At 36.5% G+C, this 16,176-nt stretch overlaps 1 protein-coding gene across 7 annotated transcripts in view, besides 1 other annotated feature; it reads right to left on the minus strand.

The window, feature by feature from the left end:
- FAP (fibroblast activation protein alpha) overlaps positions 1–15,184 on the minus strand; it is a 72,762-nt gene extending 57,578 nt beyond the window's left edge. For 6 of the 7 annotated variants that reach the window (XR_001738668.3, XR_922891.3, NM_001291807.3 and 3 more), the window contains exons 1-2: positions 15,061–15,184; positions 14,647–14,731 (exon numbers count right to left, since the gene is read on the minus strand). Coding sequence is in view for 5 of the 7 variants with exons in the window: in NM_001291807.3 (NP_001278736.1) it covers positions 14,647–14,731; positions 15,061–15,066 (91 nt within the window). In the remaining 2 variants the exon portion in view is untranslated. Of the gene's footprint in view, positions 1–2,654; positions 3,034–14,646; positions 14,732–15,060 lie in introns of those variants that run through there. The other variant, XM_011510796.4, reaches the window with a different exon arrangement.
- Positions 6,688–6,857: an enhancer, noted in NCBI's record as "experimental_55061 CRE fragment used in MPRA reporter constructs". NCBI's record gives its function as "activates a minimal promoter by MPRAs in K562 erythroleukemia cells, with activity observed for both the introgressed and non-introgressed 2:163091544 variant alleles {active_cell/tissue: K562}" and the evidence as "EXISTENCE:reporter gene assay evidence [ECO:0000049][PMID:34662402]".

The following is a 16,176-nucleotide window of genomic DNA, read 5'->3' on the forward strand; positions in this document are numbered from 1 at the left end:
GCCTAGGCTTGCTCACTCATATTATGAGGTACTGGACTAGAAGGTGTTGGCAATCTCTTCCAGCTATACCATGCTAGATTTTGAAATCTGAAACTCAACCTTCTCTATTAATCTTATAGTTACATTAAGTTCTGCTATGTATGTAGTAAGAGCAAAATAATAAAGTGGAATAATAACATCTTCTGTTGTTTTAACTGATTTACATTGATGCATGTATGCTCCACACTTTTGATTAGGACCATGAGTTTATTTCTTTCCTTAATTTGCAGCAACTTATTCCATGGCTGTAAGAATAGTGGCTGGTGAGCCCTTTTGCAACTAGACACTGAATACTTAATAGAATTGTTATTCTATTTTTTAAATAATTATCTTTCTGTGTTATCTGTGCATCCTAAACAAGGTTGTGTACACTATACAGTTATTTGTAATGAAATATCTTCTGTTTAATGAAATGGTATTATGTAGAATTCATACCATTGATTTTGTAATTCTCATTCAGTGAATAAAAGACCATTTACTACAATAGCATTAAAATAATTGCCAAGTATTGTATTTAATTCAACTTTATTTAACTTTCCTAAGAGCAAGTTGCAATCTGATTCTAATGTAATAAAGGGAAAATTATAACACTATTCATAGTGGAACTTATTTTCCACTTGAGACACATTTAGTTTGTGCCTACACAATCCTGAATATCTAGATGGAAAATTTAAAAATGTATAAAGTCCATTTACTGTAAATACCAAGATAACAATTTTTTTAAAGAATGTTTTTGATATTAATTCAATAAATGAATATAACCTTAGTTATTTTTTAAAAAGTATAAATAATGCTTCAGTTATGGCTGGTGACATAGTTTTTCCTATTTAAGCATCTTTGCATATAATTTTCCTTACTTGTGTTATGCTTAATTAAGACATTTATAGCTATAATTAATCTTCATTTTCATAGAAGTCTAAATCAAGTGAGATAATTCAACTAAAACATCTAGCTCTATGTGTGGCACATGGTAGCAGTCAATACATGTTACCTTTTAGCATTATCGTAACTCATCAGTATTTTTCAAATAAATGTTTTAGATCAATGTTTCCCAAGCAGATTTGTCCACTGGGAATTTTTGCTTCTGAATATCTACTAAAACCACAGTTTGAGAAACACAGTTCCAGACAAGGCTATTAGTATATACAATTGAGCTTTACTTTTATTCTAGTTTAATGAAGTTCATCAGTTATACTTGAACATTTTGTCTATTGCCTAGCTCCATAACTGAACTGTTACAATTAAAATCATAAGTGCAATTTGTACTAATATTGTACAATGAATAAATAAAACATAAAAAACAACAGTTTCAAATTACTTTTTAAATACCTACTCATTTTCCTTTTCGTATCATTAAAAAGCATTTTGATCTTATCAGAGTTCTCAAAAAGATTCTAAGAATTAATTATTTATTCCTTTAAACCTCTAATTTAGTTTATCCAGGAAGGTTGGACTTGATACTATATTTCATATTACTTCCTAGTTAGCAATTAATTTTATATGAGTGCATAGTAGCTATAAATGCCAACAATCGATATAGAGAACGTAGCATATGACTCAAAAAATCTGTAAAGCAATTTTAAGCATGTACTAATTGTACTACTAATTGCCATAATGAAAATAATCCTCACCACCACCCAAGAAGTGATGAATGGATGTATGAATAACATATCCAGATAAGCCAGCTACATGTATGTGGGAATGGATTTCAGGCACAGATTGGGCTGGGATGATTACTCCTAACCTCACGTTAGCTTTGAAACCGTATCATATGTCATGTATCCAGGGCTTAGAAAGTGTAATTATGTTGATGTCAGGCTGGGTACATTAAGTTCATCCCCAATATACTCAGAGAAATTCAAATTAAGCATTCTTCTCTTCCTGCTAAACATGACCACGTGTTCATAAACACAGTGAAGTAATGTGTCTCCTTTGAGATGGTGCATTAAGTCACATGTTAGAATAAGAATAAAACATAAAGATTACTTAGAATTTTCAATCCAAGCTTTGATTCTTTGTACATATGGGTTTTTGTTTTCTCAACATTTATCTAAATTTATTGAACATGAATTTTTTCACATCTCTATATTTATGTGGCAAAGAATTGTATAAGACATAGGTCTCCACCCATAAAAGTAGAAGCAGTGATTGATTTTTCTCACTATTATACGTTCAGCTGCTAGGACAGTCCTTGACATAGCATGGGAGCTCAATAAATATTTGCTGAATTAAAAAAAAAACCAACTTGACAGATTTTGTGTTCGCTTGTTTTGAATAATTCCCCCGAGAATATATCTTCCCTTACTTTCTACCCTCTATTACATGTTGTAAATTTCATATGTAGACTCTTTTGCCTTCATTTAAATATTTATAAAAATTTGGTCCTTGGAGCCCCTTGGAGTGTGCTTATATAAAAAACAGATTCCTAGTACTTATCTCAAACTTACTGAATCCAAATCTCTGGGGGGTGGGGTCCTGGTAGTTTTAGTTTTTACCCAGTCTCCTTGATGATTCTTCTGCAAAGGTTCAGAATCTCAATTTAATGATTTCACTGAATCTATTTTGCTCAATGCACTCCTGTGCCTATAGGAATCATTCCTTGACTACAAACTCACGGTAGGTGGGTGAGGCTGGCCTGCAGAGCAATCCATATGTCATGGAGAAGAGATTCCACATAACTGAGTGTTGACCATGGCTTCCAAGGAATGTAAATGGCCTCCTTTAATGTTTGTCCCCCTGTTCAATGACCTTGCTCATTGCCTTCAAATGCACTCTTCTTTAAGTATATTCCCTTTCCCAGACCTGGAAAAGTGGACAAAAGGCAAGGGGACTGATTCTACCCCAGACTAGACTTAAGTAAGATTATGGAAAAAGCACTGGGGTCATTATTTTCTAGTGTTTGGAATGTGTGTATGTGTGTGTCTGTGTGTAAATCAGTATAAAATATATCTCCACAGCATCAAATACACTAAATGTTCTAGTCACCCAGAAAATATTCCATTAATAATTATTGGATCAACAAATGAATTTTCATGTCCCCTTCCAAATAATGTTTTAATATTAAATGTAATTACTTGATGATTTTGGAAGATTAGCTTTGACATCTATAATTTTTAAATTCTAATGGTTGAACAGAAGTAAACATGAATTCTGAAAGCATATCTCTCCTCTGTATATGTTAACACTTACTTGATTAGCTCTTAATTTTTGCCAGTGCCCTTAACTTCGTTTTGGCCCATCTTTAGTATAGTTACTCATACATTGCTTAAACACTCTCATTAACTATGCTTTAATTATTTGCATTTTCAGCTTATTAAAGCAAAGCTGAAAATTATTTCAATTATGAATCCAAGAAATTACAATTCACAGAAATGATTCACAAGCAAGTAATGATTTACTATTCTCTTAATTCTTTCTTAAAACGTTGTGCTTCAATTAGGCTTCTGTGTCTGTTTCTGCCATTTGATTGTCTAGTACTGAAAAATTAGGAATGGGTGTTAGAGCAGAGACATTGGATGTTAGTTCTAACCTTCAGCATAAACCAAATGAGAAAATTAAGTGGCATACAAATGGCTGGCAGGTCCTTTTGTTCTCACTTTTGCACTTGATTTGTAATTGATGCATATGAGGTCATACCAAGGAAAGGGTCTAGGGCTCTCAGGGAAAACACATCCATCTTCCTGCTGGCTCTGCAGAGGTGCTACCTGTGGGGAGGTATCATCTCCAATTATCACACCGGGTTTTGTTTGTTTCCGGAGTGAGCACCACAGGGGCAAGGACAGGAAGTATTAGGATGGGAAATATACTATTTACAAGCTAATATGATCAAATTGGAACAAGACTGACAACTCTGAAAAAAAAAGTACATGAGGTGGCTTTAGATGAGTAATAGAAAGTGTTATAATTTATAAGTTCTTGTACATACCAAGTACTCTACATGTATAGTCCTGTTAAATCCTCACAGCAGCCATCTGAGGTAAATACTTTTGTGGACACCATTTTACAGATTAGGAAATGAAAATTAGCAAGGTGAGCTAACTTGCCTAATACATAGAAAAGCTGGGGTTTAAATTCAGCTGCATCTGGTTTTAGATACTTTGCCACTATACTATAATTAAAGTATAAGTGTACACATAATAAAACAACAACATACAACAAACACAAAAATAGGCAAGAACCAAGCAACACACAAAGGGGTAGAATAATTACACCTCAAAACCTAGGTTAAGAGAAAGTGAGGCAATTTGAGCTTTTTCAAAGCAAATAGGTTGCTAGCTATTATAAAACTACTTACTGCTACTATTATTACTGCCTACTTGAAGAATGTCTCAGCTCTAACAGCAATTTTCCATGGTTTTCTCTATGAACAATACTGAATAACATGAGTTATTCAAAGGATTTGCCGGGCTTTTAAAAATAGCCCATTTGTGTGTTATTTTATTGTTATGTTATATTATTTTAATTAGGGTTCATTTATTTTTCTGGATAACTAAGGCTTTCAAAGATCATAAGATATAATCAACCTAATGTGTAAGAACATGAATGGCAAATGACCCTCTGGTGACTCTGAAGATGAAAGCAAGCCTTGTTTATTTTTGAAGACATCAGTCTCCTTTGCCAGCTCATTTTCCTCTAATCTCTACTTGACATTTTGGCATGGCTGTTACTGCTTCTACATGGGGCTGGAGGAAGAGCAACTTTCCTAGGTCATTTCGTTCTCCCAAGGTTTCTACTACATATCCCTGGGCTGACCCACCCCCTCACCCCACTACCACACCTGACTTTCACTGGATTGTCTTTTGAACTCCAGACACGTACATTAAACTTCCTCTTTAAAATCCCCACTTACATATCTCACAAGCACTTCAAAATCAATATGTTTAATGCTAAGAAAAAAAATTCTGTGCTCCTCTTCCAAATTTCTCCAAGTAAATGGCACTACCTACCATTCATGTAGTTTCTCAATACAAACATTTTGGTGTGATCCTTGACCTTCCTCTTCCTTAACCAACACCCAGGCCTGCCAACCCTGTCTACTGCTTGTCTCTATTTCTACTGCACCCCCAGGGACAAGCCATTTCACAATCTTTAGGCTTTAACGGATGCCTAATTGCTCCTCTGCAATTTCATTCCTGGTATTTTGTTGTGGTTTTGTTTTGCATTTTGCAGTGACTGATAGCATTGAGCATCATTCATGTGCTTATTAGTCATTTGTATATCTTCCTTAGCAAAATGTCTGTCCTTTGTCCATTTTTTAATGGAGTTATTTATCTTTTTATTATTGAGCTGCCAGAATTCTTTGTATATTCTAGATGCATGGCCTTTATCGAATATATATTTGCAAATATTTTTTCTCATTTTCTAGGTAGTCTTTTCACTCTTTAAATGGTATTCTTGGCCACCCTAAAATGTTAAATTTTGATGAAGTCCAATTTATGTATGTTTTCTTTTGTTTCTTGCATTTTTGGTCATATCTTAGAAAATTTGCCTAACTCAAAAACATAAAAATGTATCTGTATGTTTTAAGAGTTTTATAGTTTTTAGCTCTTACATTTAAGTCTTTGATCCATTTTGAGTTAATTTTTGTGTGTGGTGTGAGGAATTGGGTCCAACATCTTTTTTTGCACATAGATATCCAATTGTTTCACCATCATTTGTTGAAAAGACTTTTCCCGTTGAATTGTCTTGGCATCCTCATCAAAAATCAATTAACTAAGTAAAAGACTTTATTTCTGGACACTCAATTCTATTCCATTGATCTATATATCTATCCTTATGCCAGTAACACACTGTCTTGACTACGGAGCTTTGTAGTAAGTTTTAAAATAAGGAAGTGTGATTCCTCTAAGTTTATTATTCTTTTTCAATATTGTTTTAGCTATTTTGGGTCCCTTGCATTTTTGTATGAATTTTAGGATCAGCTAGTCACTTTCTGCAAAAAAAGAAAGCTATCCAGGATTTGGATAGAGATTACATTTAATCTGTTGATAAATTTAGGCAGTATTGCCATCTTAAAAATATTGTTTTATGATCCATAAACATGGGATGTCTTTCCACTTATTTAGATCTTTTTGGATTGCTCATTGAGAGTGTATAGAAATACTATTGATCTTTATACATGGATCTCGTATCCTGCAACCCTACTGAACTGTATTGTTAGTTCTAATAGTTTTTTAGTGAATTCCTTAGGATTTCTACAAACAAGATTGTGTTATCTGTCAGTAGAAAGAGTTTTACTTCTTCCTTTCAAATCTGGATACTTTATATATTTTTTTCTTGCCTAATTGCCTTGGCTAGAACCACTGATAAAATGTTGAACAGAAGCGATGAGAGAGGACATCAAGTCCTCTTATTGATCTTAGCAGGAAAACAGTGTTGAGAGGTGACAGCATGCTGGCAGCCCTCTCAGCCCTCACTCGCTCTGGGTGCCTCCTCGGCCTCGGCACCCATTCTGGCCGCACTTCAGGAGCCCTTCAGCCCGCCGCTGCACCGTAGGAGCCTTTCTCTGGGCTGGCCGAGGCTGGAGCCGGCTCCCTTGGCTTGCGGGGAGGTGTGGAGGGAGAGGCAGGGAGGGGAACCCGGGCTGCACCCCACGCTTGCCGGCCAGCTAGAGTTCTGGGTGGGCGTGGGCTTGGTGGGCCCCACACTCCCAGCGGCCCGGGCAGTGAGGGACTTAGCACCCAGGCCAGCAGCTGCGGAGGGCGAACCGGGTCCCCTAGCAGTGCTGGCCCACCGAGGCTGCCCTCAGTTTCTCGCCAGGCTTTAGCTGCCTCCCTGCGGGGCAGGGCTCGGGACCTGCAGCCAACCATGCCTGAGTCTCTCCCACTCCCCCCACTCCCCCAGTCCCCCGTCACCCCCTCCGCACCGCCCGCCCCCTGTCACCTCCTGCCCCTCCCCCTCCGCCATGGGCTCCTGCACGGCCTGAGCCTCCCCAACAAGCACTTCCCCCTGCTCCACAGTGCCCGGTCCCATGGATGGCCCAAGGGCTGAGGAGTGCCAGCGCATGGCGCGGGACTGGCGGGCAGCTCCACCTGCGGCTCCGGTGCGAGATCCACTGGGTGAGGCCAGCTGGGCTCCTGAGGTTAGTGGGGACTTGGAGAACCTTTGTGTCTAGCTAAGGGATTGTGAGTGCACCAATCAGCACTCTGTGTCTAGCTCAAGGTTTGTGAACACACCAATCAGCACCCTGTGTCTAGCTCAGGGTTTGTAAATACACCCATTGACACTCTGTATCTAGGCAATAGGTGGAGAACTTTTGTGTCTGGCTCAGGGATTGTAAACGCACCAATCAGCACCCTATCAAAACAGACCAATCAGCTCTCTGTAAAACAGACCAATCAGTTCTCTGTAAAATGGACCAATCAGCAGGATGTGGGTGGGGCCAGATAAGAGAATAAAGCAGGCTGCCTGAGCCAGCAGTGGCACTCTGCTGGGGTCTCCTTCCACACTGTGGAAGTCTTGTTCTTTCGCTCTTTGCAATAAATCTTGCTAGTGCTCACTCATTGGGTCCATACTGCCTTTATGAGCTGTAACACTCACTGTGAAGGTCTGCAGCTTCACTCCTGAAGCCAGCAAGACCAAGAACCCACCAATTCCGGACACAGTGTGACATTAGCTTTCATTAAGTGTGATGTTAACTATGGTTTTTTTTTGTAGGTGTCTTTGATAAGGTTGGGGAATTCCTTCTACTCCTAATCCGTTAAGTGTTTTTATCATGAAAGGGTGCTGCATTTTGTCAAATCCTTTTTCTGTGTCTATTATGACTATGAGGTTTTTGTCCTTTTTTCTATTAATAAAGTTTATTAATTGATTTTCAAATGATAAACCAACCTTGTATTCTTGGGCTAAATCCCAATTTGTCATGGTGTGTAATCCTTTTTATATATTGCTGGATTTGGCATGCTGGTATTTTGTGGGAAATTTTTGCATCCATATTCATAAGAGATACCGATTTATAATTTTCTCTTCTTGTGACATCTTTGGTTTTGGCATTATAGTAATGCGGGTAATACCTTATAGAATGAGTTGGGAAGTGTTTTCTTTCATTTTTTGAAAACGTTTGTGAAGAATTTGTGATAATTCTTCTTTAAGTGTTTGGTAGAATTTGTCAGTGAAGCCATCTGAGCTTAGGAAGTTTTTATGTTTTTGTTTTTTTTTTTTTGTGGGAAGTTTTAAAATGACTAATTCAATCTTTTTTGGTGTTATAGCACCACTCATGTTTTCTGTTTCTTCTTAAGTATTGGTAGTTAGTATCTTTCTGTGTGCCTATTTCAATGTGCCTATTTCATTTGTTATCTGATTTTGTTTTGTTTTTGGTGGGGGGGCAGGGAGACAGAGTCTTGCTCTGTTGCCCAGGCTGGAGTGCAATGGCACAATCTCGGCTCACTGCAACCTCTGTCTCCCAGATTCAGGCAATTCTGCCTCAGCCTCCTGAGTAGCAGAGGTTACAGGTGTCAGCCACCACTGCTAATTTTTGTGTTTTTGTAGGGAGGGAGTTTCTCCATGTTGGCTAGGCTGGTCTTGAACTCCTGGCCTCAAGTGATCCATCATCTCAGCCTCCCAAAGTGCTGCAATTACCACCACGCCTGGCCTGTTATCTGTTTTCTTTTTTAACATACAATTGTTATATCCTGTTCCTTAAAAGGTCCTAACATCTGTTTTTCCACCAAGTATAAATCATAACCTGTATTTAAAATTTTAATTTTGATACTAAATAATACTGTTTTTATTATTAATGGGAATAAATATTAATAAGTATTGTAAGTTATTCTGTTCTTACTGCATATTAGTCAATTAAAAAGGATACTGGAAATGAAAAATAAGTTCTTGGTTCTCTATACAATGAGAAATAAAAAGAGACTGGTTAGTATTTGACTGTCTTATGAGATCGTTTTATTACATGCTACTGTATTAATTATTGCAATTTTTTAAATTATACTTTAAGTTCTAGGATACATTTGCAGGACGTGCAGGTTTGTTACATAGATATTATATGTGCCATGGTGGTTTGCTGCACCCATCAACCCGTCATCTACATTAGGTATTTCTTCTAATGCTATCCCTCCCCTAGTCCCCCGACCCCCCAACAGGCCCTGTGTGTGATGTTCCCCTCTCTTTATCCATGTGTTCTCATTGTTCAACTCCCACTTATAAGTGAGAACATGCAGTGTTCGGTTTTCTGTTTCTGTGTTAGTTTGCTGAGAATGATGGTTTCCAGCTTCAGCCACGTCCCTGCATGTCCCATGGCTGCATAGTATTCCATGGTGTATATGTGCCACATTTTCTTTATCCAGTCTATCATTGATGGGCATTTGGGTTGGTTCCAAGTTTTTGCTATTGTGAACAGTGCTGCAATAAACATACATGTGCATGTGTCTTTTTAGCAGAATGATTTATAATCCTTTGGGGATATACCCAGTAATGGGATGGCTGGGTCAAATGGTATTTCTGGTTCTAGATCCTTGAGGAATCACAAGGATTCCACAATGGTTGAACTAATTTACACTCCCACCAACAGTGTAAAAGCATTCCTATTTCTCCACATCCTCTCCAGCATCTGTTGTTTCCTAACTTTTTAATGATCACCATTCTAACTGGCATGAGATGGTATCTCATTTTGGTTTTGATTTGCATTTCTCTAATTACCAGTGATGATGAGCTTTTTTTCATAAGTTTGTTGGTTGCATAAATGCCTTTTTTTGAGAAATGTCTGTTCATGTCGTTTGCCCACTTTTTGATGGGATTGTTTTTTTTTTCTTGTAAATTTGTTTAAGTTCTTTGTAGATTCTGGATATTAGCCCTTTGTCAGGTGGAGAGATTGGAAAAATTTTCTCTCATTCTGTAGGTTGCCTGTTCACTCTAATGCTAGTTTCTTTTGCTGTGCAGAAGCTCTTTAGTTTAATTAGATCCCATTTGTCAATTATTGCTATATTTTATGGCTCAGTTTGACTGTCTGTGGTTCTTAAAAACTTTTAGTCCTGATTGCACACCTCTGGCTCAGACTTTTGAATCTGGTTTTCAAGGTATATCTATGACTGGATGTTCTCGTTGAAGTTGTAACTCAATTTGCTTTGGAAATCTGAGACAGGTAAACGCCTCTCCATTGTGAGAATCATACAAAGATTTGGTTTTCTTTTTAAATTATTTAGAATTTGGCGAAACTCAAAGGGAGTTTGCCAAGATTCATCTGTGATTTTAAAATTCACGTGCAAATTAGAGAACTATAAACTGCAAACTTGATTTCTTTATCTTGACTAAAAAGCTCTTTTATATTCATGAACTTTCTGAAACTTTTCCTTAACCTTTTAGACTTTCCCATATTTTCTCCATAAGAATAGTGAAAAAATAAGCTTAAAACTCTTAAGATGTTTGAGGGACTCTGTTTCATAGACTGAATGTTAGTCCTGGGAAAATATTTTAACTTTACTACTAACATATTTATATCTCCTTTGAAGATGATTTTATCTCACGTATATCTTATTTTACCAAAGGTGATTGTTGAAGTTACAGTAGTAATAGAATACTAATTAGTAATACTAATAATAACAACAACAACGGATTTCTGACTAAAATTCAGACTTTCCAAATGATATTTCTTCTTAAAAAATATTGATCTCTGTGCTATACAAATTATCTGTGGCCTTCACATATTTTCTTCAATGCATTATAAAAGGCAAGACTCAGCTAAATAATCACTACATATTATATATATATGTGTATGTATGTAGAATCACAATTACATATGTATATACATATTCTCTTTGTTGGTTTGTTTAAATGATTTTGGTCTCATAGCTCTGTCAGTTTCCTTTTGGTTTCCTGAACTTCCCAAACACTTTTCTGATATTCAGCCTCCTAAATAGCTGGGACGAAAGGTGCATGCCACCATGCCCAGCTAATTTTTGTATTTTTTTTTTAATAGAGAAAGGGTTTCGCCATGTTGCCCAGCCTGGTCTCAAACTCCTGGGCTCAAGAAATCCTCCTGTCTTGGCCTCCTGACGTTCTGGGATTACAGCCATAAGCCAACACAGCCACCCACCCTTTCCTTTTTTACTCTCACTCAGCCTTATTCTCCATTCCTCCACCCTTCAGCTTCTTATATCTTTCTTCTTTCCTTTTGTTTTGCTTTTGCCCTAGAGCCATCAGTGTTCTGTATGAGTGCTTCAGACACAAAAGTTTCTGAAACATTTGTTGTTTTTGGTTAAAAAAAAAAAGTTGGGGATAGGAACAGGGATGATATTCTGGGATAAAGGCTCTCTACTCTCGGAATTAAGACATTTTTGAAATTGAAATACATCACACAGAATGGAATAGTTGCTATTGTTGAGTGTAGAAGTACATATTCTCAACAATGGAAGAACACAGACACAAAATGCTATCATTTATGAAGTATTTACTACATGTTAGAAATTTTAGAAAAAAAATAACTAACATTTGTTGAGTATTTGTTCATCACCATGTGGGGCACTCTATACTCAAAAGAATCTGAAACGAGGTCAAATAGTTCCTATGATTTCTTTCTATAAGCCAAGGAGGAATGGTCCAGGTATTCAGAAAATATAAATCATGAATCAAGTTTGTGTAGAATTTACCTGCAAAATTCTGCAACCTCTGTAACTTTTCACTTCTAGTTTTTTGCTTTTGTAACCTCTGTTAAATCTCTTGAAGCAAGAAGGTCTTTATGTTTGTCTTTGGGGTGAACAAAAATAAGGGGAAGTCAAGGAGCTTAGTTTCCACTCTCAGCCTTGTTGCATATTCACAGACGAAGAGGGGTGATGCTTGTGAAGAAGAACCTCAAAAGAAAAAGTGAATGGAGGTAGGAGAGAGGAAAGGAGTCAGTTGAAGGGGTGTAAGCTGAAGGCAAGGACAACCTGGGAGTAAGGGGTAGAAATTCATGTGTGCTTCACACTTTGGCAAAACTAAAAAGGGAATATTTTACAAGTTTCGAAAAAAGTTTTTCCTTATAGTTAATATTTTGTAAGTGAGCTAAATGGATTTTCTCATTTCACTACTACATTTCATATTTGTTCTTATAATCCAGTTTAATTATTCCTAAACCCTTTTAATCCTGAAGCTGGTTCTCCTGGGATGGAAGAGCCTTTCTCTTTTTTCTTTCCTTTAGACGTGATGTGAAATAACACAAATCCTTCTCTGGTATCTGTGGTGCTGACCATGCATCTTTGGGTGCAGAAAGCACTGGATTCTTACTCCCCAACTTGCAGAGGGAATTCTAGACTGCTGCACCTCCATATCCTCAGCAACTGGCATGATGATGAGCAGGGAGTTAGTAGAACTAATACACTAATATGTAAATGAATGAATGAATGTTTCCTGAGTGTGGCTTTAAGTTTCTCAGAAGAAGACAGTTCATACACTGGTGCATAAAATTCTGGGCTGAGGATATGAGGGCACCTAAGGCAAATGTGAAGTAATGGGATTTCTGATGAATGTGAGAAAGAGGCTAAGTAGGAGCTCGCTTAGCTTTGAATTCTCTGTTCTTTTTACCCCTTCCTCCTTCCCTTTCCTGCCTTGCCATCTCAGATCCTATTCTCATAGGCACTGGGCAGATGTGAGAGTGAGGACTGGACCTGGCACTCCAGACGGGAGATGATTGATTGACCAGTGAGATGTGAGAAGAAAGGAGGAAAATTAGGAGGCCACCACGCCTAACTTCAGGGCTGCCTGTGGCACTGACTTCCCCGGGTCCTGCTCAGGAAAGTAGGGTAATGACTAGTGCCATTCACAAGCTGTTTAGCTGACATTCTGAGAAGTTATTCAGCAAATTTAGAAGAGAAAGAGAATGATATAATGAACCAAAAAACAACAGTTCTCACCTTATTTATGATTTTTCTATTTCTGAATGAGTACTCAAATTTCACTGAGTACTTGAGTTTAATTTGATTATTTCACCCTATCAAGAAATCACTTTATTCTTAGAATTTTCCTGTTAGTTGAAAATAGAATTGTATTATAAATTACATAGGACTTTTATACTATATATAGTTTACGACGTATATTTATATGTAAGCTATACATAACTAAACTTGGAAAGAGGGTAGGGATTGAGATTATATGTGATCACACAAATATCTGTGTATGTGTATCTCTATACATCATTTGTAAATATGTAAATATAATGCATTTCTTATTAGAAATTATAGCTTGAATTCCATAGTGAAATTCATCCTTCCCTATGGACATGGAGGCAAGTGCCCTATAAAATTAACAAACTTTTGTTCCAAGAACATTTATTTCTGAGGGTGCAGAGTATCAATTTCAAGGTTGAGTTTCTTTAAAAATCAGGAGCTAATTTTTAATGAATTAACATTCAAAGGATCTATATGACCTAATCCACTACCTGACAATTGCTGGTATGAGGGAAATGTGGCCCCAAGACCACTGAGTTCAGAGATGAGTCTGAAAACAATTTTAACATGAAAATTTATGAAAGATATGTACACACACTACATACCTCTCAACAGCCTAAGAAGAATCTTGTGCTGGCAGAGAGCAGAAACAAAGACTGAAATTAACACTGAAGATATCAGCTGACTTCATCTTATGGGTTAACCTATTCTATTTTGTAATTCTGTGAAAATCTCATGATTATTTTTAATTTTCGAAAACATTTTTCTATGTTCTTTTTAATAGCAACAGTCCAGTCATTCAGGACTCATACATTCTTTAGCTGAAGTTATTTTATTGATCTTCATTTACTATCAGTTAACTTTTAACCAAGATATTTCCCACATTTGTTATCATAAACTTTTAGTATTTATTAGTACAAATTTTTCCCCTTTCCTAGACACAAAGACATAAGACCTGTTATTACTGGATTTTTTTTCCATTTCAGAAGCTTGAGTTTCTCTTCATAAATATTTTCATAAAAAGCTATTTCCCTAATATCACTAGATTATCTATCAACATAGTCCTACTTTATATTTAAACTAGCTCTGATATCAGCCCATAGTACCTTCCAATTTTTAGCAAAGTGAGATCAGTGTCAATCTAAGCCTTTTTTGTAAAAGGATCCAATTTATGACTGATCAAAATGCTTGCTTAACAATGTTTGGTTTTCTAATTTGATGTGCAGTGCTACTACATCTAAAACAACAACTTTGCTTTTTCTATACAGCTATTCCTGAGATCTGTATTCTCAACTTCCTCCCTAAATTTTTGGAAAGACTATTTAGTAATAAAAAAAGTCCATAGATTCTGTTTTAACTTTTCCATTCTTACTCATTTTTACTTTCCACGAGACAAACCTAATAATGAAAAGCAATGTTAGTTAAAAATGTTGTTTCTAAAGGCCTGTCAAAGCTTGTATTTAGCATATATTTTTGGGGGTTGTGGGGGTGATGCAGCATAGTTCTTAGGTTTTTCTATTGCTGAAATAACACTGTAAATCTCTTCCTACCCATGCCTTAAATTCCTCAGTATTTCTGGTCTTGCACAACAACATATCTGTGAGCTTATATGTCTTCTTAGAAATAACAGACTTACTTTGGAACATAAGCACTTAGGAAATGTTCAACCACTTGTGATCTTGCATTAGTACATTTTCCAAGCTATTCTAGGCAGATAGAGCAAATCAGAGAAAGTTCTTACCTCTTGAAGGGCGTAAGACAATGCACATCACCAATAAGGCAAGCACAGCAGAGGTGGCAACTCCAAATACGATTTTTACCCAAGTCTACATAAAATAAAGAGAATTAGGCATACACACAGTTCCTGCTAAATAGTAGAAATGGCAAGATTTTGTTTACACCTAAATCCTTTTTCTCTCGCCCCACAAAGCTTTTGATTGTTTTCCACTGATCCGGCTATAATTGCTGGAATTCTTCCAGCTCTGCAAGGACAAATGTTTCTACAGTATATTTAGAACAATTTTCCAATCCCAACCCATTGAGGAAGTAAATACTTATGTACAAATCTTCACCTTCTAAACAATAGAAAACTCTGATCACGTTCAATCCAGCCAACCCTAATTTTTTAAGAATACTTGAGGTTGCTTATACTAACCTTCATTTTTCCAGATGTTTTTGAAAGTTAGCTAATTCTGTCTTCAGAGCGTGGGTCACTGGATCTGTGAAAACCGTTGAAAAGGACCAAGTCTGTCTTTGTAGTTGGAAGCTGAAGCCAGGACAAGGTTTTTTTCTTTCCACGGACTTTTGAATACCGTGCCAAGTTTCAAAAGATTTCTGTAAAATTAGAAACAGATTTTGGGGGCGTTCTTGGCCCTCAAATGAACTGTGAGTGACTCAAGGGAAGTTTTATAGCCTTCTCATCCTTGTAACTACACCAACATCTGCTTACGTTGACATACAGAGGTTTTTATTTTTTCTTTTTTACCAGTTCAGGTTTATGTTGCATTTTCTTCTAGAATTCACTGAAGGATCACTTTAGCAAGTCATTGGGTTTTGCATAACATTTTTATTTGCCACTAAAAGATGAATTTAAAATAATGAAACTTGCAGGTCTGTACATTAAACATATATCTACTTTTTAACAGAGGAAGAACATTGAAGCCACATAAGATTTTGTGAGAAATGTGCCATATAACTGCACTTTTTTTTCCTCTGGAAGATTATGAGGTATTGCAGACAGAAATGTTTTTCTTTCAGCACAATTTCTTTGTCCATATAGCACCATATGCACTTTCAGTAAATACAGAAGTTTAAAAATTCAACTGTCTAAACCCACGGCTGCTTTACTTTAAAGAAATAAAATGCCATCTGGTGAAATTTAGTATGGGTTAGGTGTGTATGCACAGGCTAGAAAGATGGAAAGATCAGTAAGAATAATTTACCAGCAGACCTTTGGAAGAATGGAAATGGCTTTACAAGAGTGGTATTTTTGCTTTCCTCTCAGAATATCTTCTGAGAGAGGAGAACATCTAGTAATTATAAAGATTTAAAAATAAATAAAAAAGCATCTGAAAAGAAAAGTAAATCTTATGTATAATTTCATTTTGGCTAAATCTACATAATTCCAAAGAAATTGGTCATCTTGACAGATTAGTAAAATGGTTGACTGAATTAAAAAAAATACACATACAACAGTTTCTTGGAGTGTTCTGTCTGTTTTAATGCAATTCACTTGGATAGATTTTGTGGTTCCACGTAAACACAGTTGTTA

The sequence above is a fragment of the Homo sapiens genome, chromosome 2, assembly GCF_000001405.40.
Source record: "Homo sapiens chromosome 2, GRCh38.p14 Primary Assembly".
NCBI classification, from domain to species: Eukaryota; Metazoa; Chordata; class Mammalia; order Primates; family Hominidae; genus Homo; species Homo sapiens.